The 27,684-nt window shown below is 47.1% G+C and overlaps 1 protein-coding gene across 4 annotated transcripts, besides 9 other annotated features; it reads left to right on the forward strand.

The window, feature by feature from the left end:
* The first annotated feature begins 1,307 nt into the window (after positions 1 to 1,307).
* On the forward strand, positions 1,308 to 27,671 carry PNOC (prepronociceptin). Of its 4 annotated transcripts, none has more exons than XM_011544559.3 (4): positions 1,308 to 1,373; positions 13,455 to 13,603; positions 23,360 to 23,753; positions 27,262 to 27,671. In XM_011544559.3, exons 2-4 carry the CDS (start codon positions 13,478 to 13,480, stop codon positions 27,345 to 27,347), a joined length of 606 nt encoding a protein of 201 aa, XP_011542861.1. In that variant the 5' UTR covers positions 1,308 to 1,373; positions 13,455 to 13,477; the 3' UTR covers positions 27,348 to 27,671. The 4 variants fall into 4 exon arrangements, with proteins under 4 accessions (XP_011542861.1, NP_006219.1, XP_005273589.1 ...); NM_006228.5 differs by lacking the exon at positions 1,308 to 1,373 and adding an exon at positions 1,588 to 1,636 and having other exon boundaries at positions 23,360 to 23,811; XM_005273532.3 differs by lacking the exon at positions 1,308 to 1,373 and adding an exon at positions 1,588 to 1,636.
* Positions 2,581 to 3,093: an enhancer, noted in NCBI's record as "H3K4me1 hESC enhancer chr8:28175778-28176290 (GRCh37/hg19 assembly coordinates)". NCBI's record gives its function as "activates a minimal SCP1, AML or CMV promoter by ChIP-STARR-seq in naive H9 embryonic stem cells {active_cell/tissue: H9 hESC(naive)}" and the evidence as "EXISTENCE:reporter gene assay evidence [ECO:0000049][PMID:30033119]".
* Positions 3,094 to 3,605: an enhancer, noted in NCBI's record as "H3K4me1 hESC enhancer chr8:28176291-28176802 (GRCh37/hg19 assembly coordinates)". NCBI's record gives its function as "activates a minimal SCP1, AML or CMV promoter by ChIP-STARR-seq in naive H9 embryonic stem cells {active_cell/tissue: H9 hESC(naive)}" and the evidence as "EXISTENCE:reporter gene assay evidence [ECO:0000049][PMID:30033119]".
* Positions 21,213 to 21,322: a silencer, noted in NCBI's record as "silent region_19052". NCBI's record gives its function as "represses an Ori minimal core promoter by ATAC-STARR-seq in GM12878 lymphoblastoid cells {active_cell/tissue: GM12878}" and the evidence as "EXISTENCE:reporter gene assay evidence [ECO:0000049][PMID:35858748]".
* Positions 22,401 to 22,450: an enhancer, noted in NCBI's record as "active region_27162". NCBI's record gives its function as "activates an Ori minimal core promoter by ATAC-STARR-seq in GM12878 lymphoblastoid cells {active_cell/tissue: GM12878}" and the evidence as "EXISTENCE:reporter gene assay evidence [ECO:0000049][PMID:35858748]".
* Positions 22,471 to 22,630: an enhancer, noted in NCBI's record as "active region_27163". NCBI's record gives its function as "activates an Ori minimal core promoter by ATAC-STARR-seq in GM12878 lymphoblastoid cells {active_cell/tissue: GM12878}" and the evidence as "EXISTENCE:reporter gene assay evidence [ECO:0000049][PMID:35858748]".
* Positions 22,721 to 22,870: an enhancer, noted in NCBI's record as "active region_27164". NCBI's record gives its function as "activates an Ori minimal core promoter by ATAC-STARR-seq in GM12878 lymphoblastoid cells {active_cell/tissue: GM12878}" and the evidence as "EXISTENCE:reporter gene assay evidence [ECO:0000049][PMID:35858748]".
* Positions 23,551 to 23,620: an enhancer, noted in NCBI's record as "active region_27165". NCBI's record gives its function as "activates an Ori minimal core promoter by ATAC-STARR-seq in GM12878 lymphoblastoid cells {active_cell/tissue: GM12878}" and the evidence as "EXISTENCE:reporter gene assay evidence [ECO:0000049][PMID:35858748]".
* Positions 23,831 to 23,880: a silencer, noted in NCBI's record as "silent region_19053". NCBI's record gives its function as "represses an Ori minimal core promoter by ATAC-STARR-seq in GM12878 lymphoblastoid cells {active_cell/tissue: GM12878}" and the evidence as "EXISTENCE:reporter gene assay evidence [ECO:0000049][PMID:35858748]".
* Positions 25,568 to 25,647: an enhancer, noted in NCBI's record as "active region_27166". NCBI's record gives its function as "activates an Ori minimal core promoter by ATAC-STARR-seq in GM12878 lymphoblastoid cells {active_cell/tissue: GM12878}" and the evidence as "EXISTENCE:reporter gene assay evidence [ECO:0000049][PMID:35858748]".

Genomic DNA, 27,684 nt, shown 5'->3' on the forward strand with positions numbered 1-27,684 from the left:
AAGAGTCCAAAATGGTAGCTGCGACCTGCAGTGTAAGGTTTGGGCAACAGAGATCTAAGTGAAGAATCATGAGTATGCTGGTCTCCTGAGCCCTTTTGCTGTGAACACAGACGGAAGGGAAATTTTATTCTCAGAACCTGTTGCTCTTAACCTGAGCAGATGTTTGCTGTCTTTTTCCTATTTTCTTTTTATGGAGATGTAATTCCCATAACATAAAATGCACCATTTTAAAGCATACAATTTGGTGGGTTTTAGTATTCTTGCTATGTTGTGCAACCATCACCTCAGTCTAAATCCAGAACATTTCCATTACCCCAAAAAGAAACCCTATACCATTTGCAGTCAGGGCAGATGCTTCCCTCAATCCTTCTCCACCCAGTCCTGGGTAGACCAGAGAGCTGGACTTAACCACATGAATGAGTGCTTGAGCTCCTTGGATGACATAGGTTCAAACCCTGGGATTCTGGAATATTTTAGACCCTCTTAGGAAAACCAAGGACAGGGTCATGGTGAAATTCACCTAAGGTAAGGAAACGTGGGGTCCACAAGGATGCTAAACCCTCAAGCCTGTGCCTTCAGCCTGTGAGCTCCTTTCCTGCAGCCCACAACCCCCGGCGGCTGTAGAAGACAAAGAGGCTCTGCAGTAAGGGACAGGGAAGCTTCCAGAGCTTCTGAGCCTCCAGGGCCCTCGGTAGTGATGCCCTAAGTTGCAGAAGCTTTAAAAGCTCTCTGTTGTGACACCAGACACTGATATGGGATTTCTACATCCAGGTGGTACTAATCAGTGTGAAAAGCGGGCTGAGAGGAGAGGGAGGATGCAGCACATTCATTAAGGGCCTCGTGTGTTGTAGATTCAAACAGAATCTCCTTTTTCTACTCACAACCATCCTGGGCAGTATTAGACTCATTTTCCGGAAGGAGGACTTGAGGTTCACAAAGAGATGTGCCTTGCTCTGACTGTACAGCCGAATTTCAGACACTTCCATCTGAGCCTCGAGTCTCAGCATTCTCCATTGCACCATGCTGTGGGCACCTGTGGAAATGCCTCCTGACCTGGCCCAGGGCAGGTGCAGCCACCTCTTGAGTGGCCTAGTTAGGGGCAATGACATTAGGTCAGGGCTTGGCTTAGCTCAGCCCTGGGCTCCTCCGAGTCGGTAGGAGCTTGGCATGAGCTCCCCTCCCTTCTGCCTGCCTCCTATTCTTCACTCCTCAGGCAAAAAGGTTGCTCAAGGAGACTCCAGGATTTGGGGTCTGCCTCGTCACTGTCACCAGGAGGCTTTTTTTCTGACTTGCCAGAGCTCCCCATCAGTCCTCACAGAGCCTCTGGAAGCACAGGGAAGGCAGCTGTGGGATCCTGGCTGAACAGAGTCCAGGTGAAGCAGGCTTGAGAATGGATTGATGGGGAGGTGGGGATGTCACAGGTCTGATGGCAGAGCCGGGGGAAGGGAACAGCCAGGAAGGCTTGCAGGTTCTGCTGTTTGGTTGCTGAAGGGGGTCAGTGTGTGTATGTGTCATGGAGGTGGGCAGGGAAGGGGAGGGCTGTGCGTGGGGGAGAGGATATATATGCTGGTGTGGCTGAGAAAGCGGAACCGAGCCTCGCATCCATCGGAGGGAGCCGGGGACTGACAGCTCTCAGGTAGGCAACTGCACGGGGCCCCCAGCCCGACCGCGACTAACTGGACTAACTGCGTGGAGCTCCGGGAGGGCAGGGCCACCAGGGGCTGGCTCCTCGGCCTCTCTCCTTTGTCCAGTGTGGATGCTGCTGGCCTCTTGCGAGATGGTTTCTTCATTCATCTCCTTTGTAGCGCTTGGATGGTGGGGAACGGGGGAGGGCTGAGTCTCTTTTTTAACCTCAGACAGACGCAGAAGCAGAAAGAGGGGAACTTGGAAATGAGGAAAAGTTTTGCTTCCCCAGCTGTGGCCCCTACGTGGTTGTTGCTCTGTGTCGAGAGGAGGCTGCTGGAGGAGTGAGGCCAGAGGAGGGGCAGGCACTTGGGAGGGGGTTTGCCTTCCACGGGGCGGCCCCCAGGAAGACCCTGGCCCCCTCATGAGGGTTTCCTCTCAGTGGCTTCCTTTCCTCTCAGATGCGGTGCGCAGGCTGCTTCTCCGCCTATCACTGAACTTGATGCCATCCAGATGGGAGTTTTTAATCCGGAGGGAGCCCTTCTCCCTTCTGCCCCCAGCAGAAATTGCTACAAATAATGGGGAAGCGCCAGATCTGGGGAGTGTGCTTCACCTGTATACACACACTGCTGAGCGCCACGGCGTGTGAATTCCAGAGAGCATTTCTACGGGCGTGACCTTGGTCTCCCAGAACCCGATTCATTTAGAGGGCTCTTCTCTTGCTTGGCATCCCTCTCCCCCTGCCCATCTCCCCCACCTAAAGGTCTTTGCCCAGGTCATGCAGAATACTCCGTTCATAGTCACCGCATCCCAACTCTCGAGGCTCTCTCAGCCACCTTCTTTCTTCCTCCTCTCTTTGTGCATCTCTCTCCCTCGAGTCTTGCTTCCCCGGCTTCACTACCCAGCCCCTCCTCCCCGAATCTCGCTCTGAACATGGGCAAGTTCTGGGGGAATTTCAAGTAAGGCAGGATGATTCGGGAAATGGACTATTTAAAGCAAGCTGCTTTGGACTTGAATACCCCCATCCTGCGCTTAAACATCTGTGTTTAGCTTCCTCAAGCAGCCCATAATTGCCCCAATTATAACCAATAACATTGTTCGGCAGACTAACAAAAGATGAGCTTTGCACGGCATTCGCCAGCAAGCCCAAACCAGAGTTTTCAACATAGATGGGAAAAGTAACTGCCTGGCTTCTTATCAAAACCTCCCAAAGCAAATACTGCTCTTTTTCGCTGCTTGTGGGTGGCTACTGCATGCAGCCTCTTTTTTTCTCATTTGTAAAGTGTGGCAGGGAAATATTCTACAAGCTTACACTGAGGCTATGTTACCTTTAACAAAAAGGATTCGTGCTCCTTTGGGCTTGCTGAGTCTTCTGCAGAGGAGGGTCCCTGGAAAACCCATCCCCAACCATCACCACCTCTGTAAAAGCATGTGCCGCCTGGTGCTGCCTGGCGAGGGCGCTGTGGTACAGCCTCGGGTCATTTTGAGGGCGCAGTTTTGTTGCGCACAGGGCAGCAGCCCCTGCTTTATCAGCTGAAGGCTGAGAGTACTTACGGATTTGTAAAATGCAGGCGAGTTTGCATTGTCAGTGAAGGGAGTGATTGCAGGATTAGGCTCAAACCTGTGCTCCCTGGAGCCTATGACAAGAGCTGTCACTAAGCTATCCTGTATTCAATCAATCAGGTAGTTACCGTCTACACTCCACCAGGCAGGGAGGCTTGCAGGGGCTCTAGTAGATTCAGCAGAGGTGATAATAACAGCACTTTACATTTGTACAACGATTTAGGCGCTTTCACACCTATTATCCCAGCAACAGCCCTGTGAGGTGGTGCCATTATCTCGGTGTTGCAGTTGGAGAAACTGAAACTGAGAGATTAAATGATTTATTCAGTACATGGCAGGGTCAGGACTGAGCCAAGGCATTGTGGCTCCAGTTCATCTCCCCGTTACGGTCAGGGGTGCTTATGAACTCATAGTGGGGTCGGGGGTAGAGGAGAGACGTAACACAAACATGAGAAACAATTAGAGGACCATGCAAGGCAGGGTGTAATTCAGTCCTAAATCACATAATCCAGAGAGCAAGTGCTAGAAGAATTCGGGAGAAGGAGCATTTCCTCCAGGCATTCCTGGGATCCTACCAAGTGAGAAGGCAGGTGGAATTTGGATGGGTGAAGGGCTTTGAAGAGGGAGGCAGCAGCCAGGTCAAACACATAAAATGAGGGCAAAGGAATTAACATTTCTTGAAACCCACTCTGTGCCAGGCAGTGAGCTAAGCTTGTCTACGTGCTTATTTCATGCTAATACACACATGCACATATGCACACTGGTAGGAATGGGAAGTTTCAGGTGAGCGTTCTCTACTTGCACTGACACGGTTCAGTGATCCCTCATTTCTCCATCCAGCTCCACAGCTCCCAAAGCCCACGAAGGAAGCTTTGAAATATCTTGCATTCCGAGTCTGGGTGGAGCTACTCCTCAGATATCTTAGGAAAGGGACGGGCCCTTCTCAGAAAACGGGAGCCGTCCTGACAATGAGTGGCTGGCAGTGGCTTGAATTGCTGGGCAGTCATGAAGCAAACTGGATTTTCTAAACGCCTTTATTTAAATCCCACAGTCGAACATAAAGTTTTCCATCTAATCACAAACTAGTCATGAGATTTGGAGCACATCGATTTCAGGGGCAAGCCAGTTTTCTGGGCATCTCCCTGGATAGGCTACAATTAGTTTCAGTCTCAATTTTCCACGATCCTGTGGGGTTTTTTTTGTTTGTTTCTTTCTTTCTTTCTTTCTTTTTTTTTTTTTTTTTTTTTTTTTTTTTCAAAATACTGGCAGCTGCTTCAACATTGCAGAAGCACAAAATCATCAGCCCGGGGGCCCAGCCTGGCAGGTGGAGTAGATAGCATGCCTCACCATGCACCCCAGCTCTGCCATCCCACAGTGGCTCAGATCCAACCTCCCCTCTTTCCACACTGGCCTGCAATCTTCCCCCCACCCTCCTTCCCCATTCATCCTTTCATTCATTCGGCCAAGGAACGTGTGTGGGGTTCCTGATAGGAGCCACACAGAGCAAGTGCCAGGAGCACAGGGTGGCCAGAGCGCTGGCTTCCTCCAAACTCACAATGGGCTTCAGGAGACTGAGACTTTTGTTTTTATCTTACCTTTCTTAATTTGCATTTTAGTGGATTTTATAATGTATGTAACTTATAAATAAATTAGGAATGTGTACTCAAAATCGACTGCTAGGGGTACAAAGTTAAAGAAGTTTGGCCGGGCGCAGTGGCTCATGCCTGTAATCCCAGCACTTTGGGAGGCCGAGGTGGGCAGATCACAAGGTCAGGAGATCAAGACCATCCCGGCTAACACGGTGAAACCCCGTCTCTACTAAAAATACAAAAAAATTCTCTGGGCGTGGCGGTGGGCGCCTGTAGTCCCAGCTACTCGGGAGGCTGAGGCAGGAGAATGGCGTGAACTCGGGAGGTGGAGGTTGCGGTGAGCCGAGATCACACCACTGCACTCCTGCCTGGGTGACAGAGCGAGACTCCATCTCAAAAAAAAAAAAAAAAAAGAAGAAGAAGTTTGAAGATTGTTGTCCTAGATTCATTGCTGTTTCTCTGTGTTTTCCAATATTTTAGAAAAGAACACCGAATGATTTTATTACATAAAAGTAAATAAAAGCTTTTCTTTCTTTCTTTTTGAGTTGGAGGTCTTGCTATATTGCCCAGGCAGGTCTTTTGTTGTTGTTGTTGTTGTTTACAGACAGGGTCTCACTCTGTCACCCACACTGGAGTGCAGTGGCACAATCATAGCTCACTGCAGACTCAACCTCCTGGGCCCAAGCTATCCTCCTGCCTCAACCTTCTGAATAGCTAAGACTGCAGATGTGCACCACCACACCTAGCTAAATTTTTTTTTTTTTTTTTTTTTGTAGAGATAGGTGTCTTACTATGTTCCCCAAGCTGGTCTCAAACTCCTGGGCTCAAGCGTCCTAAGTTGCTGGGATTGCAGTTGCATGCCAATACACCCAGCTAAAAGTAAATAAAAGCTTTCCAAAATCTATTTAAATTATGTTGCCAGTATATGTGGGAGTGTGGCCCAGAACCAGGAAGATGGGAGTTGAGAGCTACCTTCCCACCTGCAGTAGCCCTGAACGTGTGTCTTTTGCCCCCTCCACACTCTTTCTATGGCTTTCCTCATGCTGCCCGGAAGCTACTTCCCCATAAAGCCTTCATCTCCTTTTCCTCTTCCCTTCTTCCTTCCATCCTTACTTCCAGGAAAGGACAAATATCTGGCCATTCATAAAATCAGAGAATATCAACCATCTCATCTAACTGCCTCTTCTTATAGAGGGAAAAGCTGAGGCCCAGAGAGAAAAGGTCTTGCTTAAAATCCCACAGGTAACGACAGAGCCAGACTAGAAGCCAGGACTCTTGTTTCTGAGCACAGCTCTCACGCGTTCATTTCTCTCCAGCCTGGGGAATGCTTGACCTGTGCTGGGCTGGGCAATTGTTCTTTCCTCCACCTCCTCTATGCCGTCCCCCTCTTTCCAGGTGGAAATTTAGATGAGAGGAGAGACACTTGAAGTGTAATTGTATCAGCCAGAAGAGGAAAAGAAACTAAAGCAGCCTCTCTCCATAATAGCTGGTAAACAAGCATAAGCTCCATTGTAGGAGTCTTATCTGCAATGGGTCTAAGAAATGGGGCATCGGGAAGACCCACCTATCTTCTGATGGACATGCAGCTGGTGCATAATGAAGGATCCCTGTGTGGACTGGAGAGAAGCCACCATAAAGAGGTTGTCATCAGCCCCGGCACAGTGGCTCATGCCTGTAATCCCAGCACCTTAGGGAGGCTGAGGCGGGAGGATCATTCGAGGTCAGGAGTTTGAGACCAGACTGACCAACGTGGTGAAACCCCGTCTCTACTAAAAATACAAAAAAAATTAGCCAGGCATGGTGGCGGGCACCTGTAATCCCAGCTACTCAGGAGGCTGAGGCGGGAGAATCATTTGAACCCAGGAGGCAGAGTTTGCAGTAAGCCAAGATAGCGCCACTGAACTCCAGCCTGGGCAACAGAGCGAGACTCCATCTCCAAAAAATAAAAAATAAGAAGTAAATAAAAAAGGTTGTCATCAGACAGGGAGTACAGACTTCAGGACAAGAGGAAGCCCTACATGAAGACAGCTGCTGGGATCACTGACAGGCAGGGTCAGACATAAGTCCCAGCTCTGCCACTTCAAGTTACATCAGCTCCTCAAGCCTCAATCTGCTCAACTATAAAATGGGGATGATAGCACTTACCCCATAGGGTGATGCTTATAAAGCAATTAGCGCAAAGCCTGGCTCATAGTGCTCTAAAGTCATAGCAATATGATTGCTATGAAATGCAAATAGATTCCACCGCAATGAGATGCCATCAGAATCTGGCAATCTTCCAAAAGCAGAAACAGTGTGTAAAGTTGATGGTTTCCCAGAACACATGGTTTGAAGTCAACACACCTGAGTTTAAGTCCTGGCTCTGCTACTTATAAACCGGATGATCCTAGTCAACTTGCTTAACCTCTAAGAGTTTATGTTCATTTTAAAAGGTGGGTTGATATTAACCCTAGATTACAGGGTTGTATAATATATGAATATAAAATTTTTTGGTAACCTGTCAAGAATATTCTCTACATGTGGTTGATGAAAAGGATGGAGGTGTATCTGCCTCTAGCAAGAGCAGTCCCCTCTTCTCTGCTGGCAGCATCAAAATTACAGGACTTCGAATAGGTCATAAGACAAAACTCAATTAGGGTCCAGCTTCGGCTAAAGCTGCATATGTGATTCTCCAAACAGATAAGCAACTAATTATATTGCCCTTGGAAGCAAGATTACATGCAAATCGATTAAGGCCAAGCCATAGTGGTATTTTATCTTTATAAACAGCAAGGCACAATTAAATTTATGAGGTGTCATTACCAAAAGAAAAGGCAATTCAACATTTCTTTATTCAATATGAGACGCTCAGAATATAGTATTGCCACATAGAAGTATTAGCTGAGCTTGGCTCACGAAGTGAAATACAAGCCATGGAAAATTCAGCCTACTCAGGTAACTTTTGATTTACTGATGTTTGCTATGGTTGTATAAAAATAGCAACAACCTGTCACTATTCCCATTTCACAGTTGAGAAGACTGAGGCTCACAGAAGTGAAATAATTTGCACACAGTCCCACCGTTACAAAGTATAAAGTTTCAGCATCAATGTAACAACAAACCTGTTATTATCCCCACTTTGTAGTTGAAAGGACTGACCATCTCAGGACTTGTCTGCAGTCACACAGGTCCACAGTGTAAGGTTTAAACACAAATACAACTCGTGAATTAACTAAGTACTCATCTCCATTTAAATACAGAACATCATCCAGCATGGAGATATAGTCAAGACTTCTTACAAATGAAAAACATCTACTGAGTTTTCAAAGTTCAAAATCTGATTTAACCTAGAACACAGTTGTAGTAGGTGTTGGGAAGTGTATGAGAAAATACAGAATGCTGTCTCTATAACGATATTTACATAATTTTGAGTTTTCACTGACATTAATCTCATTTTAAAGCTTGCAAGCCACCTGTAGGGTGGATGGAACTATGTGGTCATCTCCATTTTGCAGATTCTGTGAATTGCAGGGGGGAATGGATAGCATTGAATATGGATGGCTCCTCAAATAATCAGTGGAGTCAATTGTTAAAAGTGAGGGGAGACAGAGAAGGGTCGGGAGGTTGGAGTCCGAAAGGTAGACGTGCCTCTGACCCACAGGGAGGTCCTGGCTAGAGCCAAGGACACTCAACAAGGTCTCCCTAAGTGCCAAGCTGCAGGGCCTCACATTTCACCTGCAGGAAGACTATCAAATGGAACATGTACTACGTGTCCCAGAAGCTCATCTTCCTTTTATACCTCGCCCTTAAATCCCATTTACCCAGATTTTGGCAAGCATCAGTCAAACCAGCCAACATTTCCTGAACATGCAAGTTGCCCCAGTTAATGAAGTTCACAAAAAACCTCAGCCAGAGAGCATTTTGCTAACATCTGTCACAGTTTGTCAGCTCAGCCTATGCACACATTCTGTATTACAACCTCATATTAGGAAGGAAAGGAAACGGCTCCTTTTCTCCTCCCTTCCCTTTCTTCTGCGACGTATAGCCACTGCCACCATGTGGCTGTAGAGGGCACAGCCACGCTGTTTGGAACAAATTCTACAAAAATGTCTAGAAAGACGGAAACTTAGTAGAATGAGAAATGTAAGGCCAGGCATGGTGGCTCATGTCTGTAATCCCAGCACTTGGGGAGGCCGAAGCGGGAGGATCACCTGAGGTCAGGAGTTCGAGACCAGCTTGGCCAACATGGTGAAACCCATCTCTACTAATAATACAAAAATTAGCTGGGGGTGGTGGTGCACTCCTGGAGTCCCAGCTACTGAGGAGGCTGAGGCAAGAGAATTGCTTGAACCTGGGAGGTGTGGGTTGCAGTGAGCCAAGGTTGTGCCACTGTACTCCAGCCTGGGCAACAGAGTGAAACATCGTCTCAAAAAACAAAAAAGAGTGTTAGAGTGAATGCTGCATGCCAGGTTCTTTCCTTCTTTTCCTTTCGTATATATTCTTATTGCCTGTCAGTTCTATTTTAATTGCTTACAAACGTTAACCCACTAATCATCCTCTGAGATAGGTACTAATTTCATCCCATTTTTGCAGATGAGGAAATGAGAGGTCAAGTACAGCTAGCAAGCTTCAGAGCTGTGATCGGAAGCAGGCAGTCTGTAGTCATTAGCAGATGAGAAAGCGCATATCACCGCCACTCTGCAGCGTGGGTCTGTTGTGCCTGTGTTGATAGATGGGGCCCCCGAGGCTCGCTGGCCTCCCACTATGATGTGCTCTTCCAGATGCCAGGGCAGCAGAGGAGACTGATCTAACTCAGACCAGGGGGTGGACATGGCTTCCCAGAAGGGATGATGCTAGAGGTGTGTGTGAAGGATGAGTTGGAGAAGGATATTCTGGGCAGAGGGAACAGCAAGTGCCAAGATAAAAAGACATTAAGAAGCCAGGCACAGTGGCTCATGTCTGTAATCCCAGCACTTTGGGAGGCCGAGGCAGGCAGATCACTTGAGGTGAGGAGTTCAAGACCAGCCTGGCCAACATGTGAAGCCCCGTCTCTACTAAAAACACAAAAATTAGCTGGATGTGGTGGTGTGCACCTGTAATCTTGCTACTCAGGAGGCTGAGGCATGAGAATCACTTAAACTTAAGAGGCGGAGTTTGCAGTGAGTCGAGATCGCGCCACTGCACTCCAGCCTGGGCGACAGAGTGAGACTCTGTCTCAAAAAAAAAAAAAAGAAAAAGAAAAAAAAAAAAAAGAAAGACATTAAGAGGCTGATACAGTTGGGAGCTACACGTGATCGGCTGAGACTAGAGGCTATGCAAGGTTAGGTGCCAGGAGATGAAGCAGGAGTTGGTCAGTGCTAAGTCCTTGGAGCTCCCCCTGACAGCAACAAGGTTATAAAATTAGTTTAAATATAAGGTGACATCATCAGATTGGAGATGGCTTGGGGGGAAGCCAGATCATTAGGTGGACTAATTAGGAGGCTATTACAATAACCAAGGCAATAAATCTCAACTAAAGCCCTGGTCCTTGGGATAGAGAAGAAAAATTAATCTCAAATGCATTTGCGATACAGTCATTTATGTAGGCACTGTGTTCATTATTTGTTTCAAAACCCGTCTCAAATGTGAGTTCATTGGCCAGGTGCAGTGACTTATGCCTGTAATCCCAACACTTTGGGAGGCTAAGGTGGGAGGAACATTTGAGGCCAGGAGTTCGAGACCAGCCTAGGCAACATGGCGAGACCTCATTTCTGCTAAAAATTTAAAAACTAACCAAGCATCCTGGGCTCAAACAATCCTCCCAGCTACTTGGGAGGCTGAGGTGGGAGGATTGCTTGCGCCCAGGAGTTCAACGCTTCAGTGAGCCGTGATTGCACCACTGCACACCAGCCTGGGCAACAGAGCGAGACCATCTCAAACAAACAAAAAGTCAATTCATTGATTTAACAAACACTTATTGAGCACCCCAGTAGTCATCATCCTCTGGGTATGAAATGCTTTGATGACGCACAAGAAGAACTGGGGTGGGCTCAGCTGCAGGTCCCTCCTTTGTTCACGTCCTTCTCATACCAGCACTTCCCAAACTTTGGCATGGATACAAGTCACCTGGGAATCTTGCTAAAAATGTGGATCCTTACAAAAAATTAGCGGGACCTGGTAGCATATGCCTGTAATCTCAGCACTTTGGGAGGCCGAGGCGGGCAGATCACAAGGTCAGGAGTTCGAGACCAGCTTGGCCAACATGGTGAAACCCTGTCTCCACTAAAAATACAAAAATTAGCCAGGTGTTGTGGCATGTGCCTGTAATCCCAGCCACTCGGGAGGCTGTGGCATGAGAATCTCTTGAACCAGGGAGGTGATGGTTGCAGTGAGCTGAGATTGTGCCACTGAACTGCAGCCTGGGTGACAGAGCAAGACTCTGTCTCAAAACAAAAACAAAAACAAAAAGACATGCAGATCCTGATTCAGTGGTTCTGGGGTGAGGCCCAAGAGTCTGCATTTCTAACAAGATTCCAGCTGGTCTGCAGGGTGCATTGGAGTACCAAGACCTTCTACAGTTCCTCAATATCATCTGAAGAAAAAGCAATAAAGGCAGTCATTTTTGGTTTTCTACACTGAACTCTTTATTAAGGGAACTGCATACAGTGAAATGCACAGAATGTAAATGTACAACTCAATGGGTTTTGGCAAATGGATACACCCCTGCGACTTCAGTCAAGAACATTTACATTTCTAGAAAGTTCTTTGTTCCTTTTCCATTTAATCCTCTACCTAAAGATGGTTCTACAGGGACCCAAAATGATACAGTACAGGGAAGCATCTTTCAGATTTAGAAGCCTTGATCAAAAGATAAGTTTCAAGGAGAAACAGTGAAAACTGCACACCTTTCAGGCAATCCTACATAAGATTGCAAACCACTGATCTAATCAACCAATCCTTGGAGCTACTATCTTGGAATAGTTTCTTTGTTCGGTTTTAAATAGCAAGTTCCACATGCCAGGGCCTGTGCTTGGCCTGGAATGCCAAGGTGAATAACATGGCCCTTTGCTCGGGAAGCCAACTGTCTTAGTCTGTCCAGGCTACTGTAACAAAAGAGCGTATACTGGGTGGCTTATAAACAACATAAAATTCTTTTCTTTTTTTTTTTTTTGAGATGGAGTCTTGCTCTGTCACCCAAGCTGGAGTGCAGTGGCGTGATCTTGGACCACTGCAACCTCCGCCTCCTGGGTTCAAGCAATTTCTGGCTAATTTTTGTATTTTTAGTAGAGATGGGGTTTCACCATGTTGGCCAGGCTAGTCTTGAACTCCTGACCTCTAGTGATCCACCTGCCTCAGCCTCCCAAAGTGCTGGGATTACAGGCATGAGCCACTCTGCCCTGCCAACAACAGAAACAACTTTTTCACAGTCCTGGAGGCTGGGAAGTTTGAGATCAAGGTGCCTGCAGATTCAGTGTCTGGTGAAGGTCTATTCCTGGCTCTTAGATTTTGCCTTCTTGCTGTGTCCTCAAGTGGTGGAAGGGACTAGCTAGCTCTCTGGGGCCTCTTTTATAAGGGCACTAATCCCATTCATAAGGGCTCTAGTCTTGTGATCTCATCATCTCCCAAAGGTTCCATCTCTCTCTCTCTTTTTTTTTTTTTTTTTTTTTTTTTTGAGACAGAGTCTCACTCTGTCAACCAGGCTGGTGTGCAATGGCACAATCTCGGCTCACTGCAACCTCCACCTCCCAGGTTCAAGCAATACTCTCGCCTCAGCCTCCCAAGTAGCTAGGATTACAAGTGTGTACCACCACACCCGGATATATATATATATTTGTATTTTTAGTAAAGACAGGGTTTTGCCATGATGTTGGCCAGGCTGGTCTTGAACTCCTGACCTCTAGTGATCCACCTGCCCTGGCCTCCCAAAGTTCTGGGATTACAGGCATGAGCCACTGTGCCTGGCCCAAAGATCCCATCTCTTAATATCATCACGTTGGAGGTTAGGATTTCAACATAGGAATTTTAGGGAGACAGAGATAGACCATAGCACTAGCTCACATCTAACAGGGATAAGAGGCAAGTACCTGGAAGAGAGAATTCGGGGTATGGGGGGTTGGGGGCATTCCTGGCTGCAGCAGGGAAGGCCAGGAGGATGAAAGGAAGCATTTGAGTCATTAATAAATGTCATATTTTACTCATCTTACTTTTGCACAGCACTTTGCAAAACTCCCCTTACAGATCTCATTTCATCTTCACAATAGGCCTGTGATAAGGCAGGTGCCACTGTTCCCCTTTTATGGGCTATGAAAACTGAGGCTCAAAGTGGTTGATTTAATGTCACATGCTGGTAAACTGCAAAGCGATGCCTTTAGCTCCCAAGAAAGCTATCTCTGCCACCACACAGCTGCTCCCAAAAGTGCCTATGAGGTGTCGAGGCCAGCCAGGTGGCAGGAATCACAGGGGTGTCCTGCCACCCAGGACTAACCCAGGAACCCAGACACACTAACAAGCCTCTACATGAACACTGAGCCTAGGTGATAGGCAGGGTCGCCTATGGCCTTGACAATTTACACCCCTGCAAAGTGAATCACAGGCCCCTAGTGCCATCCTGCCAGAGACAGCAGAGAAGTGTCTTTCCTGCATTCTCTGGGTTAGGTCTCTGGCCCTGAGCAGCCCTCCGAGAATGGCTGTACTCATTGCCATGCTTCCTGTATGTTCCAGCACCTGCTTCCTGCTCCTGCACCATGAAAGTCCTGCTTTGTGACCTGCTGCTGCTCAGTCTCTTCTCCAGTGTGTTCAGCAGTTGTCAGAGGGACTGTCTCACATGCCAGGAGAAGCTCCACCCAGCCCTGGACAGCTTCGACCTGGAGGTAGGTCTCCAAGGCAAGGCAGAGAGGCTGTCCTCCTCCCTGACTACCTCCTCCCTCCCTACTCCAGAGCAGACTCTGAGTGAGAAGCCAAGGCCTCTCCCACAGCTCACAGGACTTGCTCAGCATTACATGGCCCATAGGAAACAGATCAGACAGGAGCTGCTCTTCTGACCCAGAACCTTACGATCTTTCCACCTTACCACCTGCAGGAAGAGCCCTGCCTGTGATGCCAGGTCATTCCCAGGATTAAAATAATGTTACTCATTTCAGAGAGTTTGGCAAATTCAGAAAAGTATAAAACAAGAGAAATTTAAATCCTCCTTAATTACACCAGTCAGAGAAAGAATCCTACTTTTTTTCACTTACTATATTATACCAGGATAAATTTCTCATGTTATTATTTCTTTCCATGAGTATAGTCTACAGTTGGCCCTTGGTATCTACTGGTTTCACATTCAAGGATTCAACTAACCATGGATAGAAAATATTCAGAAAAAAATAAAAAATACTAATACATCAATGAAAAATAATACAAATAAAGCAATACAGCATAACAACTACTTAAATAGCATTTACATTATATTAAGTATTATAAGTAATCCAGAGATGATTTAAAGTGTACAGGAGGATGTGCATAGCCATTTTATTGATCATTTTTATTTTTATTTATTCATTTTTTTTGAGACAGAGTCTCACTCTGTCACTCAGGCTGGAATGCAGTGGTGCGATCTCAGTTCACTGCAACATCCACCTCGCAGGTTCAAGCAATTCTTCTGCCTCAGCCTCCCAAGTAGCTGGGATTACAGACGCCCACCACCACGCCCCGCTATTTTTTATATTTTTAGTAGAGACGGGTTTCACCACATTGGCCAGGCTGGTCTTGAACCCCTGACCTCAAGTGATCCACCCACCTCATCCTCCCAAAGTGCTGGGATTACAGGCATGAGCCACCGTGCCCCTCCGCATAGCCATTTTATATAAGGGACTTGAGCATCTGCAGATTTAGTATCCTGAAACCAATCCCCTGTGGATACAGAAGGACCGTGTAATTTGTTTAACCACTGAACAGGTATGTGCCCTTTATTTTATTTTATTTTATTTTATTTTATTTTATTTTTTTTTTTTTTTTGAGACGGAGTCTTGCTCTGTCGCCCAGGCTGGAGTGCAGTGGCGCAACCTCGGCTCACTGCAAGCTCTGCCTCCTGGGTTCATGCCATTCTCCTGCCTCAGCCTCCCGAGTAGCTGGGACTAAGGTGCCCACCACCACACCCGGCTACTTTTTTTTTTTTTTTTTTGTATTTTTAGTAGAGATGGGGTTTCACCGTGTTAGGATGGTCTCAATCTCATGACCTCATGATCCACCCGCCTCAGCCTCCCAAAGTGCTGGGATTTACAGGCGTGAGCCACCACGCCTGGCCTGTGCTCTTTATTTTTGATATTGCAGATAACTCAACAGTGAACCCCTTAGTACCAAAATGCTCTCTTATATTTTAAATTTCCAACTTAAGGTGCAAATCCAGTATTAACTTTTTCTTCATTAAATAAACTGCTTTGTCAACTATCTACATTTCAGTCCAGATAGTTACTCCTCTCCTATTAAATCCAGTATAGCTCAATTGTTTTTTACTTTATAGTCAAATAACTTCCTTCAAAAGATGCCATCTTTTAAACCCCTTAACCTTTCAAAAACACCAGAAGCACCACAGTTCCTTAAGGCAAATGTACAAATGTAGAACCGAGTATTTGCAGGGGGACTAACACACCCTGGTGTCTCCCACCTCCAGATAACAGAGGAGGAGATAAAATCCAGCAGACCCAAAGCACCAAGCTCTTGGGCTCAGTGGTTTTCAAGCCCATTTTCCAACCAGTCATAACTACCCAGGGCATCTCCAGTTAACCAATTCACTTACTATATTATACCAGGATCAATTTCCCATGTTATTAACATTATTACTTTCCATGAATATAGTCTACAGTTGGCCCTCGGTTAAGTGGTTACAGTAAATGTCTCCTCTTACTCATCCACCGTGTTTCTCTCTGAGCTCCTACCTTGCTGATGATTTCCTCCTTCAGGAACACCAGCCCTCTCTCGGTCCATGTGCCTCATTCTCTTCCTCACTCTGGCTACTGTGTTGGTTCCTTGTCCTCTCCCCACTCCCTACACATAAAGGATCGCCAAGATTCTCTGCTTTTCACCTCCCTCTGAGAACCCACCCATACATCCCAGGCCTTCTGCTCCTCCCAGGCTGCAGAAAACTCCTAGAGGAATCCTCCTGAACTCCTCTCACCTGGGCTCCAGACCCGTGTTCCCAATCACTTTCCATAGTTCCCAGAAATCCTGCCTTCTCTTCCTGCCCTGCCATTGTGCCTGCCACAGCCTCCTCCCCCATCCATAAATCCCAGTCGCACTTCAAATCCCAGATTAAGTGTCCTCTGGTAAGAGAACATTGCACTGATTCTCCACCCACCCCAGTGGAGTGGGCCCTCCTTCCTCATGTTCTGATTGTTAGTTGTATCTGCAGGACTCTCTCTCCCCATATGGAGTGAGCTTTCTTTACTGATGGATCTGGGTATCCCAGCACTCAGCACAGTGTGTGGCACAGAGCATAGCTCAATAAACACATCCCATCCCGTGGAAATTGGAAGATTCTAAGACCATTAGTCTCCTAATAGGCACATCTGCTGCAGTCTCTGTAAAGGTTTTACATTTCCATCTTTCAGAGACTCAAAAATTTGGAGCATGTCTGCATCTCTCCATAGCATCTTAAATATCTGGGGTCTAGACAACATTATCAGCTCTACTTCTTTGAAACAAGTCAGAAAATGGACCTGTAAAAGCCTCACAATGGGGGACTAACACCTTCACAGTGCTCGCTAACCCCCCGGAGGATGTGGCTGCCTGCTTGTTTTTGTTTCTAGTTTGTATTCACTTTTAACCTATGTTTAAGTTTAATGAAATGCCTAGAATGTAGGCACTCAAATCCATTTCCAAATCTGGCAGCCTTTGACTATGTCCATTCTGTGAATGATCAGGGGACTCATATTTCAGCAAGGGTCACTTCCCCAGTCCTTCCACCAAATTACATAATCCTGAGCTATTCCCAGGATCCTCTGGATCCTTGGCTTCATCAAGAAACTTTTTATTTCTGCTCCTAGTAGACTATTTGAGTATGGCTGCTTGTTGTTAGACTATAATTTTTATTGGTAAATGACTCACACCCAAATCCATTGCAACGTCCTGGCCTTTAACCTAATTGTGAATGGTACTTACTTCATCAGCTCAAGGAGAAAAAACTGGATTCACTGAGTTGTTTTAGAGACAAAAATAAGGCAACCAATCCCAAGAAAGAGTGTGGGGAAATTTATTTCAAACTCCCTAAAATTTGGCCTGGTGCAGTGGCTCACACCTGTAATCCCAGCATTTTGGGAGGCTGAGGCAGGTGGATCACTTGAGGCCAGCAGTTCTAGACCAGCCTGGCCAACAAGGCGAAACCCTGTCTCTACTAAAAATACAAAAATTAGCTGGGCATGGTGATGCATGCCTGTAATCCCAGCTACTCAGGAGGCTGAGGCAGAAGAATCACTTAAACCCAAAAGGCAGAGATTTCAGTGAGCTGAGATCATGCTACTGCACTCCAGCCTGGGGGACAAAGTAAGACTCTGTCTCAATCAATCAATAAAATTCCCTAAAATTCTACTGCAAAACGAGCTACCTTCTGGTAGTTCTTTCTATCTTCATGAGATGAAAATTCTAATGAGGTGACTTGCAGTAGGAGTTCCTTATATGTTTGTCTTCTATGCTCATCTGCTGTATTTGTCCTCAGATATTCTAGCAGGACCTCACAAAGCAAATAGCTCCCAAATGTCTCTTGGTCAGAAGTGGTGTGACTCTTTAGTGGCAGAAACTTGACCACCTTTGTGAGCTGCTCCTTTCATCCCCAATGGGTTCATATGCCTGTTTCCCACTTTGTACCCTAATCTTTGAGCCCAGACACCCAAAAGGCCATTTGTTCACTTTCCCCATAAGCCCAGCTTTACAGATGAATTTGGCAGCCATCTGAGACTCCAGATGCCCATACGCATTCTGGCTTAATATAGCAATGCCATCAGCGTGGGCTGCCAAAACGTGTCCAGCTCACTTAATAAGCCATTAACCCATCTCTGGAAAAAGGCTGGTGAGTTCCCCGCACCAGAGGGTCAGGCATTAAGCTCCTATGCCCATCTGGTGCTACAAATGCGTTGTGAATTTAGCTTCCTCCTATTTGCCCAAAACCCTCTCCTAAGTCAAGAGTTGAGATGATTTTGTTAGCATCTAATTTATCTAACAGTGCATCAAGTCTGGGTATGGACTGTGGCATCTGGTTTGATCACACAATTTCATTTTCTCTGACTGACACAAAATCTAATTACTATCTGGGCTTGGAAACCCAGGGGCTCACAGAAGATCTAAGCACCTCCAAGTTTAACAACTCTTCCACTTGTTTCCATAAACTGACGGAGCAGAAAAATTCAACAAGCAGTTTGGGGCTCCTGTTCTGCAAGGATTGGGCCAAGCATGCTCAAAAGTCAGATCCAGCTCCCCCACTCTACCCTTCTATGACTTTCCCAGTGCTAGCCACACTTCTCTGCATCCCTGTTGACTTTGTAGAGCAGAGTTTCTCAAACTTGCCACTATGGGCACTTTTGACTGGGGAATTATTTGTTGTGGGGGTTGTCCTGGGCACTTTAGGATGTTTACTGGCATCCCTGGCCTCTAGGTGCCAGTAACACACACACACACACACACACACACACACACACACACACCAGTTCTGACAACCAACAATGTCTCCAGAGATTGCCAAATGGCCCCTTAGTGGGCAAAATCACTCCCAGTTGAGATCCACGCCTGTAGAGTACTAACTCGACAGGATTCTGATCTGAAAGAATATACTACACATTGATTCTAGCTGGTTTTCTTCCAAGTATTTCAGGAGCAGGCTAAGTACAGACCCAGGTGACTCTTTCTCTGTAGGAGTCTTTAACCACCGTGTTCTGTGATGGCTTCTTCCTCCTCAGAGCAAGTTCCAAAACAGGATTTCTCCAGGTATCATCCAGTCTCAGAATCACCTGAGCTATTGCTAAAAATACAAATTTCTGGGCCCCACCCTTGACTTAGTGGATCAGAATCTCCAATGCTTTAGGCTAAAAATTTGCATTCTAACAAACTCCAGTAGCATTTTTTTTTCTTTGAGACAGTCCCGTTCTGTCACCAAGGCTGGAGTGCAGTACAGCAATCTCAGCTCACTGCAGCCTTGACTTCCCAGGCCCAAGCAATCCTCTCACCTCAGCCTCCCAAGTAGCTAGAACTGTAGGCATGCACCACCACACCCCACTAACATTTTTATTTTTGTAGAGCTGAGGTCTCCCTATGTTGCCCAGGCTGCTCTCAAACTCCTGGGCTCAAAGGCGCCTCCCTCCTTGGCCTCCTAAAGTACTGGGATTATAGGCGGGAGCCACCATGCCCAGCACAGTAGCAATTTTTATAGAATACTCCAGAAGTTTGCAACTTCATTGTTCTTAAGGCAGCCCTCCCTATCTATGGAAGTTACCTATCATTTTTTATAATCAGTAACATTGCAGGTGTGAAAAAGTAGTTCCCTTCCTCTCCCTGCTGAGGTCATTCTGTCAGCAACTAGGTTCCATGTGTTAAGCATCTCTGAGCAAAAGCTAAATGAAAAAGCCATGCTCAGAAAAACCACGGCGTGAGCATCACTAGGGGCCAGTGTCACCTCCTGTGACTAATAGGTGGACTTGGACAGGTTGCTTCTTGGAAACCCTGCCAGGGAAGGAAAGGGACACTCCTGTCAGACCTAGTCCCTGCCTGTCCCTTCCAGTCCAGTGGAACATAGGCAATACTCCCATCCAAACCTCAGCTCTTGGTCTCATAGAATCCTTCTTCTTGCATTAATTGCCACCAATTCATATTGCAAGCACACAGAGGTAGCTGAGTAGATGTCTTGGACTGGGCCACAAGGCATCTTTGAGTTCTTGTTCAGGTTATACTGTTATCTAACCGTGTTGTTTTGGACACATTACTCAACCACATCATAAAATGCAAAGGTTGAATTATATTCATGATTTGCAAACCCAGGCAAATATCGGAATTACCTGAACTTTGTAAAATTAAGTTTTTAATTCCTTTGTAAAAATAAGTTTTAATCCCTGCTTCTATTCTTCAGAGATTTAGTTGAGTCTTGAAATTCTGTTTTGTTTTTTTCTGAGTAGGAGTTTCACTCTTGTTGCCCAGGCTGGAGTGCAGTGGTACAGTCTCGGTTCACCACAACCTCCGCCTCCCAGGTTGAAGCGATTCTCCTGCCTCAGCCTCCTGAGTAGCTGGGATTACAGGCATGCACCACCACGCCCAGCTTATTTTTTGTATTTTAAGTAGAGACAGGGTTTCTCCATGTTGGTCTGGCTGGTCTCAAACTCCCAACCTCAGATGATCCGCCCGCCTCAGCCTCCCAAAGTGCTGGGATTATAGGCATGAGCCACTGCGCCTAGCCGAAATTCTGTTTTTAAAAGCTCTGCAGGTGATTGGGACTCACATCCAGGTGTGGGACCCTTTAGACCAGGTGTGGGCTCTGTCTCCAAAGGAAAAAAAAAAAAGAATAAAAGAATCCTGGAATCCTGGACTAATGGGACAGATGAGTAATCAGATAAGCAAAGGGTGGCAGCAGGGTGACAGGAGCTGCCTGCAACAGTGCGCATGCTAAGCACTAGGGGCGTCCCAGTCCTGGTTGCAACTAGCTGCGACCCCTGTTCTTCCAGGGACTCTTTCTCACCTCTTTTCATTCCCTTCTTTTATACTCTTAGCTAAATATAGAGTGACTTCTTGATTAATTCATCTCAGTTCAACTAACCTCTACTGGAACCCTACTCTTTACTGGAAGGAGAAGATTCCTGCAAGGGATTCACACATGAGTAAGATGTGGTCCCTAACTTGTCATATTCCGCCTTAGAAGGTATTGCAATTTAATGACATAAAGCATTAAAATTTCCACAAGAGGAATACAAAGTTCTGTGGGAAGACAGAGGCAGGAGAGAGTGATTCTTGCCAGGGAACTAGAAGTTATCAGAGAGGGGCAGCACTGGAGCTTGTCTGGGTCCCAAAGGATGGATGGAAGGATGCAAGGAGGTCATTGCATCCAAGGGACAGAGAGAAAGGCATGCAGGTGCGAGGAGCTTTGCGGTGTTTAAGGCACTAGGAACAGCCTCATAGGCCTCAAGGGGTGTGTGATGAAGAATCGGAAATAAGACCTAGATGGTGGGCTGGACCAGGTGGTAGAGGGATTTGAATGCTTTGCTCAAGAGTTTGGAGCTGTTTTATGGATATGATAAACAATTAGACAGCTGTGAGCAAGGTAATGACATGATTAGTTACTCTTCAGGAAGAGTATCCTGCCAGGGGTACCACACTGATGACAGTGGCAAAGACCAGAGATGCGGAGATCAGTTAGGGACCCACTTCACCTAAGAGGCACTTAGGCGGTGGTAGAGGGAGTGGGAGGAGGGGCAGAACTGTAGACTGGCAGGATGGGGGCAGTGAGAGAGGAGGAAAAGATATGCCCAGGGTTTGAAATCTGAGTCAACTGGGGAGTGAGGTGCCACTCAGAGACAGGGACCGAGAGGCCAAGCAGAAGGACAAATATATCAGATAAGAATGAAATTCACCTGCTAGTAACAAACATCTAAAGTGACAGCGGCTGAAATCAATAGATTCAGTTCCTCACAAGGAGTGAGAAGGGAACAGCCCAGGGCTGCAGTGGCAGCTCCAGTCTCCTCTCTCTTCTCTGCCAGTCGGCAGCTTCTAGCCCATGACTCCCATCCTTTGAGTCGCTGCATGGTTTCTAGATGGCAAACACAATGTCAGCCCAAATGTCCACATTCCAAACAGAAAGTTGGAGGAAGAGGAAAACGGAATGTTCTTCCCACTTAAGTCAGTCTCCTACTTTCTTGGAAACCCCATCTGATGCCCGATCACCTTTTTTTTCTTTTTAGGCAAAGTCTCACTCTGTCACCCAGGCTGGAGTGCAGTGACATGATAGCTCACCGCAACCTCCGCCTCCCAGGTTCAAGCAACTCTTTTGCTTCAGCCTCCCCAGTAGCTGGGATTACAGGCAGCCATCACCACACCCGTCTAATTTTTGTATTTTTAGCAGAGATGGGTTTTTGCCATGTTGGCCAGGCTGGTCTCAAACTCCTGGCCTCAAGTGATCCGCCTGCTTTGGCCTCCCAAAGTTCTGGGATTACGTTTCCTTTTTTTTTTTTTTTTTTTGAGACGGAGTCTCGTTCTGTCGCCCAGCGTCAAGTGCAGTGGCACGATCTCGGTTCACTGCAAGCTCCGCCTCCCGGGTTCACGCCATTCTCCTGCTTCAGCCTCCTGAGTAGCTGGGACTACAGGCGCCCGCCACCACGCCCAGCTAATTTTTTTTTTTTTTTGTATTTTTAGTAGAGATGGGGTTTCACCATGTTAGCCAGGATGGTCTCGATCTCCTGACCTCGTGATCCACCCGCCTCGGCCTCCCAAAGTGCTGGGATTACAGGCGTGCGCCACCGCACCCGGCCTACACTTCCATTTTTATGTCGTCAGCTACTTATGGCTCCAAGGAAGCTTGGGAAACATATACGTTGCCTTTAGGAATAAAACAGTGTTCTGTGCATAAGGAGAAGGGGAGATGAATACGGGCCAGTTGCAGCCTCTGCCCCAGAAGGTGACCTGGAAGCCAGGCAGGAGCTCCACGCTATGATGAGGAGCTCTGCCTACTGACTCACAGCAGTAAGGTCAGGTTGAAGTGGGGTTTCCAGCCGGCTAAGGCCAGAAACCTGGACTGAAATTAGGGGTGAAGCCAAAACAGCAAATAGGAAGAAAAGCTGGGGGCAGAGGCTTCCAGGAGACCCAATCAGAACCAAGAACGTGGGAGGTGGGGGGCCAAGGTCAGAACCAGCCAAGAGGGGCTGGAGAAACATCGTGGTCCAGCTGGTGGCTAGAAGTCAGGGTTGGCAGGAGAGGCAGAGCAGAGTGTTCCTAGGAGCCGAGCGGGTCTGCTGGGCTCTGGTCTGATGATGGCATCTCTCCCCACACCTGGAACTGGATCACAGGTTCAGCCCCGCACGTCCAGCCGGCCTACCACCCCACAGGGTCTTGACCCCATTTGCTATAAATGATACACAGATAGTGACGACTGCTGTACGCGGGATGAAAAATTAACAACACCTAGGTAGATCTTTACATGGTGACCTTAAAATAAACCTGCAGATTTGACTACATACTTTCACATCCCCAATTTCTTTAACCCATGTGACCTCCCACAAGCCTGAAGAGAGAACAAAATAAAATTCTTTATGGGTGACAGTCATGAGCTGTGCTTGGCTCCAAAAACCCGACTAAAGATGTAACAAGGTGCGGTGTTGGGCGCATTTATCCTGTGTTAACTTCCTATGTTAACGTGCTGTGACACCAGAGGTAAGTTACGCTCACCTCTCTGAGCCCTGGTTTCTTTGTAAAATGATGGAGCTGGGTCAGATGATTCTCTGTTTGTTTCCAATTCTGAAATTCTACGAACCTAAAACCTGTGTAAAACTGCTCCACGTTACTTGATAACTTAGATGCTTCAGAAGCACTTGCACTGGTGCAGTGGGCCAGATCTCCTCCCTCGCCCTGGATTAACAGAGGTCCTTGTTCCTTCTCCCCTCCTCTCACCCGTATCTTTGCAGGTGTGCATCCTCGAGTGTGAAGAGAAGGTCTTCCCCAGCCCCCTCTGGACTCCATGCACCAAGGTCATGGCCAGGAGCTCTTGGCAGCTCAGCCCTGCCGCCCCAGAGCATGTGGCGGCTGCTCTCTACCAGCCGAGAGCTTCGGAGATGCAGCATCTGCGGCGAATGCCCCGAGTCCGGAGCTTGTTCCAGGAGCAGGAAGAGCCCGAGCCTGGCATGGAGGAGGCTGGTGAGATGGAGCAGAAGCAGCTGCAGAAGAGATTTGGGGGCTTCACCGGGGCCCGGAAGTCGGCCAGGAAGTTGGCCAATCAGAAGCGGTTCAGTGAGTTTATGAGGCAATACTTGGTCCTGAGCATGCAGTCCAGCCAGCGCCGGCGCACCCTGCACCAGAATGGTAATGTGTAGCCGGAAGGGGCGCTCCTCCCAGCTGTACCGGCCACTGCAACCCATGAGTGAGTTGGGCACCAATAAGCTGGGGGCAAGGAGAGACCTCACACACCAACTGTCTTAGCCTTGCTCCCAGGCCTAGAAGCACATTCATCTCCCCGCCCCCTCCCCACTCCACACACACACACCCCGCAAGGAGTCCAGCCCACCCTTTCTCTAGGCAGCAGATTTTCCTATGATTGCACCTTGAAGCTGACCACTTCCGGCTAGAGACTGGTTACCATGGGGATAATAGTAGTATGTTAAGATAACTAATTCCTCTATCACTCCCCAGGAGCTTAGTTACTATGGGGACAGTTAAGTGGACCAATACGCCCATCCAGTTGCCACAGCAACCAGTCAGCTCACCTTTCCTCGAGATTGTCTCTCTAAACACCAAGAGTGGGACCTACTCTTAGCCATTAGCAGAGTCCAATTACCACAGCTATGATGGTGCTATTTCATCTTCAAAGACGGCTTACCTATCCCCTCTCCTTTCCCCAGCTCTCAGGGTGCCTGGCTCCATGGAAACATTAAAGTTTCCCATTTTACCTGGACAAAGAGTTCCTGTTAAGATTAGGAGTTGTGGTTTCTGCTCTTCCTCCTTCCACAAGCCATTTGTCCATCCTGCCACCTTGCCAGAGAGGGACTGATTCCTTGTGGTCAACGGTATCATTACTGAGCAAGACGTGGAGAATTTGGTCCAATGGACCTAGTAGCTACTAGAATATGGACTAAAGGGGTTCATCTTCTTTCCTCCATTTGGCTTCTTTCCAGCGTGCCATTTTTGTTTTGGTTTTGTTTGCTTGCTTTTATTCCTCTCTTTCTTCCTTGTTCTCTCTTTCTTCTGCTCTGTTCCTATACCCACAGGCACCTTATACAAGTCCACATGTCTCATAATATACATCAAATACCCTAACTGATTGCCTGTTCATTCAAAACCCAACTTTCCTTAGGATATCAACCAATACATCACTTTGAGTGGCATTGGCAACCTAGCACAGTAGAATTTTCTGAAAATTTAGGAAACTCCCAACCATCAAGGCTATGTGCCTTAATTTGTATATGGGAATATGATCATCTGCAGAGTCCCATACGTCTCCTTAAATAGCTAAGAAACTTGCCATATTCATCCATTTTGCATTGCTACGAAGGAATACCTGAGGCTGGGTACTTCATAAACAAAGTTTATTTGGCTCACGTTCTGCAGTCTATACAAGAAGCATGGCACCCGCATCTGCTTCTGGTGAGGCCCTCGGGGAGCTTTTACTCATGGCAGAAGGCAAGGGGAGCTGGCGTGCCACATGGCAAGAGGGGGCAAGAGGGGGAAAAGGGGAGGTCCCAGCCTCTTTAACAACCAGATCTCCCACGAACTCATTACCATAGGGTGGGCACAAAGGCATTCCTGAAGGATCCACCCCCATGACCCAAACACCACCCACTAGGCCCACCTCCAACATTAGGGATCACATCTCAACATGAAATTGGAAGAGGACAAACTTCTAAACTGTATCATTGTCCTAACACAAAGAACCAGTCAGATCATCAAAATCACCCCAAAACATTACCCAAGTGGGGCTTTTCCCTGAGTCCGAGCATAAGAGAAAAATGTCTGCATGTGCTATTTTAAGTTGCGTCCCATGTGTCAGAGGTAGCCGTGTCACTAATAACCTTCCTTGATGATCTATTAGTACATATGCTAATGTTTGGTGCCCACACTTTAGCATGGAGACGGCCCCTTTGCAGGTAGGCCAACATGTTCACCACGGGCCTGTTACCAAATATGGACACGTGTATTAAGTTGTGAAGAGAAAGCTGATGTGTTTATTTTAGCAGGATGACTCATCTCCAAAGGCCCCAAATTAACCTGCACTGCTTTTGAAGTCATACTCACTCTTGGATCCTTCACAAGCCTCCTATTTCTTTCTAACACATATCTGCACAGCACCTAACAGTAAATCGTTCAGAAGTAGCATGGGTTGAATTCTTTCAAATCTTAAAGACATTCTTCTTTAAAGTGGCTCTTCAGGGACACTGAAGCTCATGTCTAATTCTGAACGATGGCAATGTTCTTTACCTAAACACAGTTGAAAATCAGGCCCATTAACAGGAATCCATTTATTTTTTAAAAAATGATTTGAGCCTCTATCCAGGCAATTGGTTTTTCTAATCTTCTATTATGCTTCCAACTGAGAGGCACTGAAACAAAGCCAGTAAGGAGCTTCTGTCTGTGGCTCTGCTCAAATGTCAAGTTCTGGATGGAAACTGGAAACATTAACCAGCTCATTTGGGTATTATTGATGACTCTCCTTTCTCCTTCTGCAACCATCTCTCTGCTTCTTTTCCCCCAACATGCACAGTTGGTGAGTTCCAATATGGATATTTATAAGTCTATAACAGCCGGCTTCAACCTTGTTTTCATCCACATACACACACCCCAACCTGCCCTACACATGATGGAGATGTCTCCATCTTGGGGGACTCTTGTTACCAATGCTGTCCTTGACTTCTAAGATACCTAATACTAATAGACATGGAGAAGGCTGGGAAGAAGTGGGGCCACCTTACACTGGAATGGGATAAAGAACCCTATTCAGGGCCGGGCGCGGTAGCTCATGCCTATAATCCCAGTGCTTTGGGATGCCGAGGCTGGTGGATCACCTGAGGTCAGAAGTTTGAGACCAGCCTGGCCAACATGGTGAAAACCCGTCTCTACTAAAAATACAAAAATTAGCCACTTAGCCGGGCGTTGTGGTGGGTGCCTGTAGTCCCAGCTACTTGGGAGGCTGAGGCAGGAGAATCGCTTGAACCCAGGAGGCGGAGGTTGCAGTGAGCCGAGATTGTGCACATTGCACTCCAGCCTGGGCAACAAGAAAGAAACCCCATCTCAAAAAAAAAAAAAAAAAAAAAAGAACACTATTCAGAAAGTGTAATGATGTCCTAGGAAGGAAAGGTGTTGGGGTGCAGGCCCACCTCTAGACAGAACTTGTCACAGCTGGTCTTAGGGTTCTGCCTTCCTTTCCCCTGACCCTATACTACCTTCCTCTTTTCTGCTACCCTTAGACTTTGACCCTTCTAGGCAATGGAAACTGAGCACATTCATTCGTGGTCAGGTTATCAGTGCCATCAGGCTCAAAGAGCACTTGCAAAGAAAAGAACTGTAAAACAAGGGCACTATTTCGCATGGGCTCCGAATACCAGCAAGAACTGTTCCCCGGGAAGGGGCTTGCCACTGTGCCTATCGAGTCACAGCCTACAGACCTCCCGTTTAGTCTATTAGTCCAGCCAGTAGACCCGGGGCTGGGGGAGCAGATGTGCGGAGATGCTGAGGACCCCTCTGGCTACGTTAGGAACGATTTACTTGGGTTGATAGCTTTTCTTTGCCTCCCTTTCACTGCTTCCGTCTCTAGGGGGAATAGAAAAGGGTCAGAAAAACCATCAGGTTTGCCATTTTTTAACCATTTCTGTCTCCCCAGGCGTCCAGGTGATCCCCCAAACAGCATGTGCTCAGCCCCAGACCTGCCGCCTGGGAATCAGGATTCCTTCTTCCCCAAGGCACTGAGCGCCTGCAGATCCCGCAGGCTTCGTTTGCCTCCAGAACCTTCCCGTCTGATTGTTCCTCCCCAGCCCCCTGGCATGTTTCACCACAACCCTGTTGCTACATCAGAGTGTATTTTTGTAATTCCTCTAGCTACCATTTCAATAGCCCCATCTCTCCTGCTCACCCGCCTCTTGCCCCTTCTAGGGGCAGGTGAAAGGAATAGGAAATTGAACCTGGGGTTTTGACTTGCCACTGCCATAACTTGTTTGTAAAAGAGCTGTTCTTTTTGACTGATTGTTTTAAACAACGATTTCTCCATTAAACTTCTACTGAGCAAATGGTTAATAAATTGGTTTGC

Source organism: Homo sapiens, chromosome 8 (assembly GCF_000001405.40).
Source record: "Homo sapiens chromosome 8, GRCh38.p14 Primary Assembly".
NCBI classification, from domain to species: domain Eukaryota; kingdom Metazoa; phylum Chordata; class Mammalia; order Primates; family Hominidae; genus Homo; species Homo sapiens.

Bases quoted from the DNA above. Each gene is read 5' to 3' on its own strand.
- PNOC (XM_011544559.3), top strand. From the start codon at position 13,478: ATGAAAGTCCTGCTTTGTGACCTGCTGCTGCTCAGTCTCTTCTCCAGT. The intron at 13,604-23,359 runs GTAGGTCTCCAA...GTATCTTTGCAG, and splicing joins TGGACAGCTTCGACCTGGAG to GTGTGCATCCTCGAGTGTGA. The intron at 23,754-27,261 runs GTAATGTGTAGC...CTGTCTCCCCAG, and splicing joins GCGCACCCTGCACCAGAATG to GCGTCCAGGTGATCCCCCAA.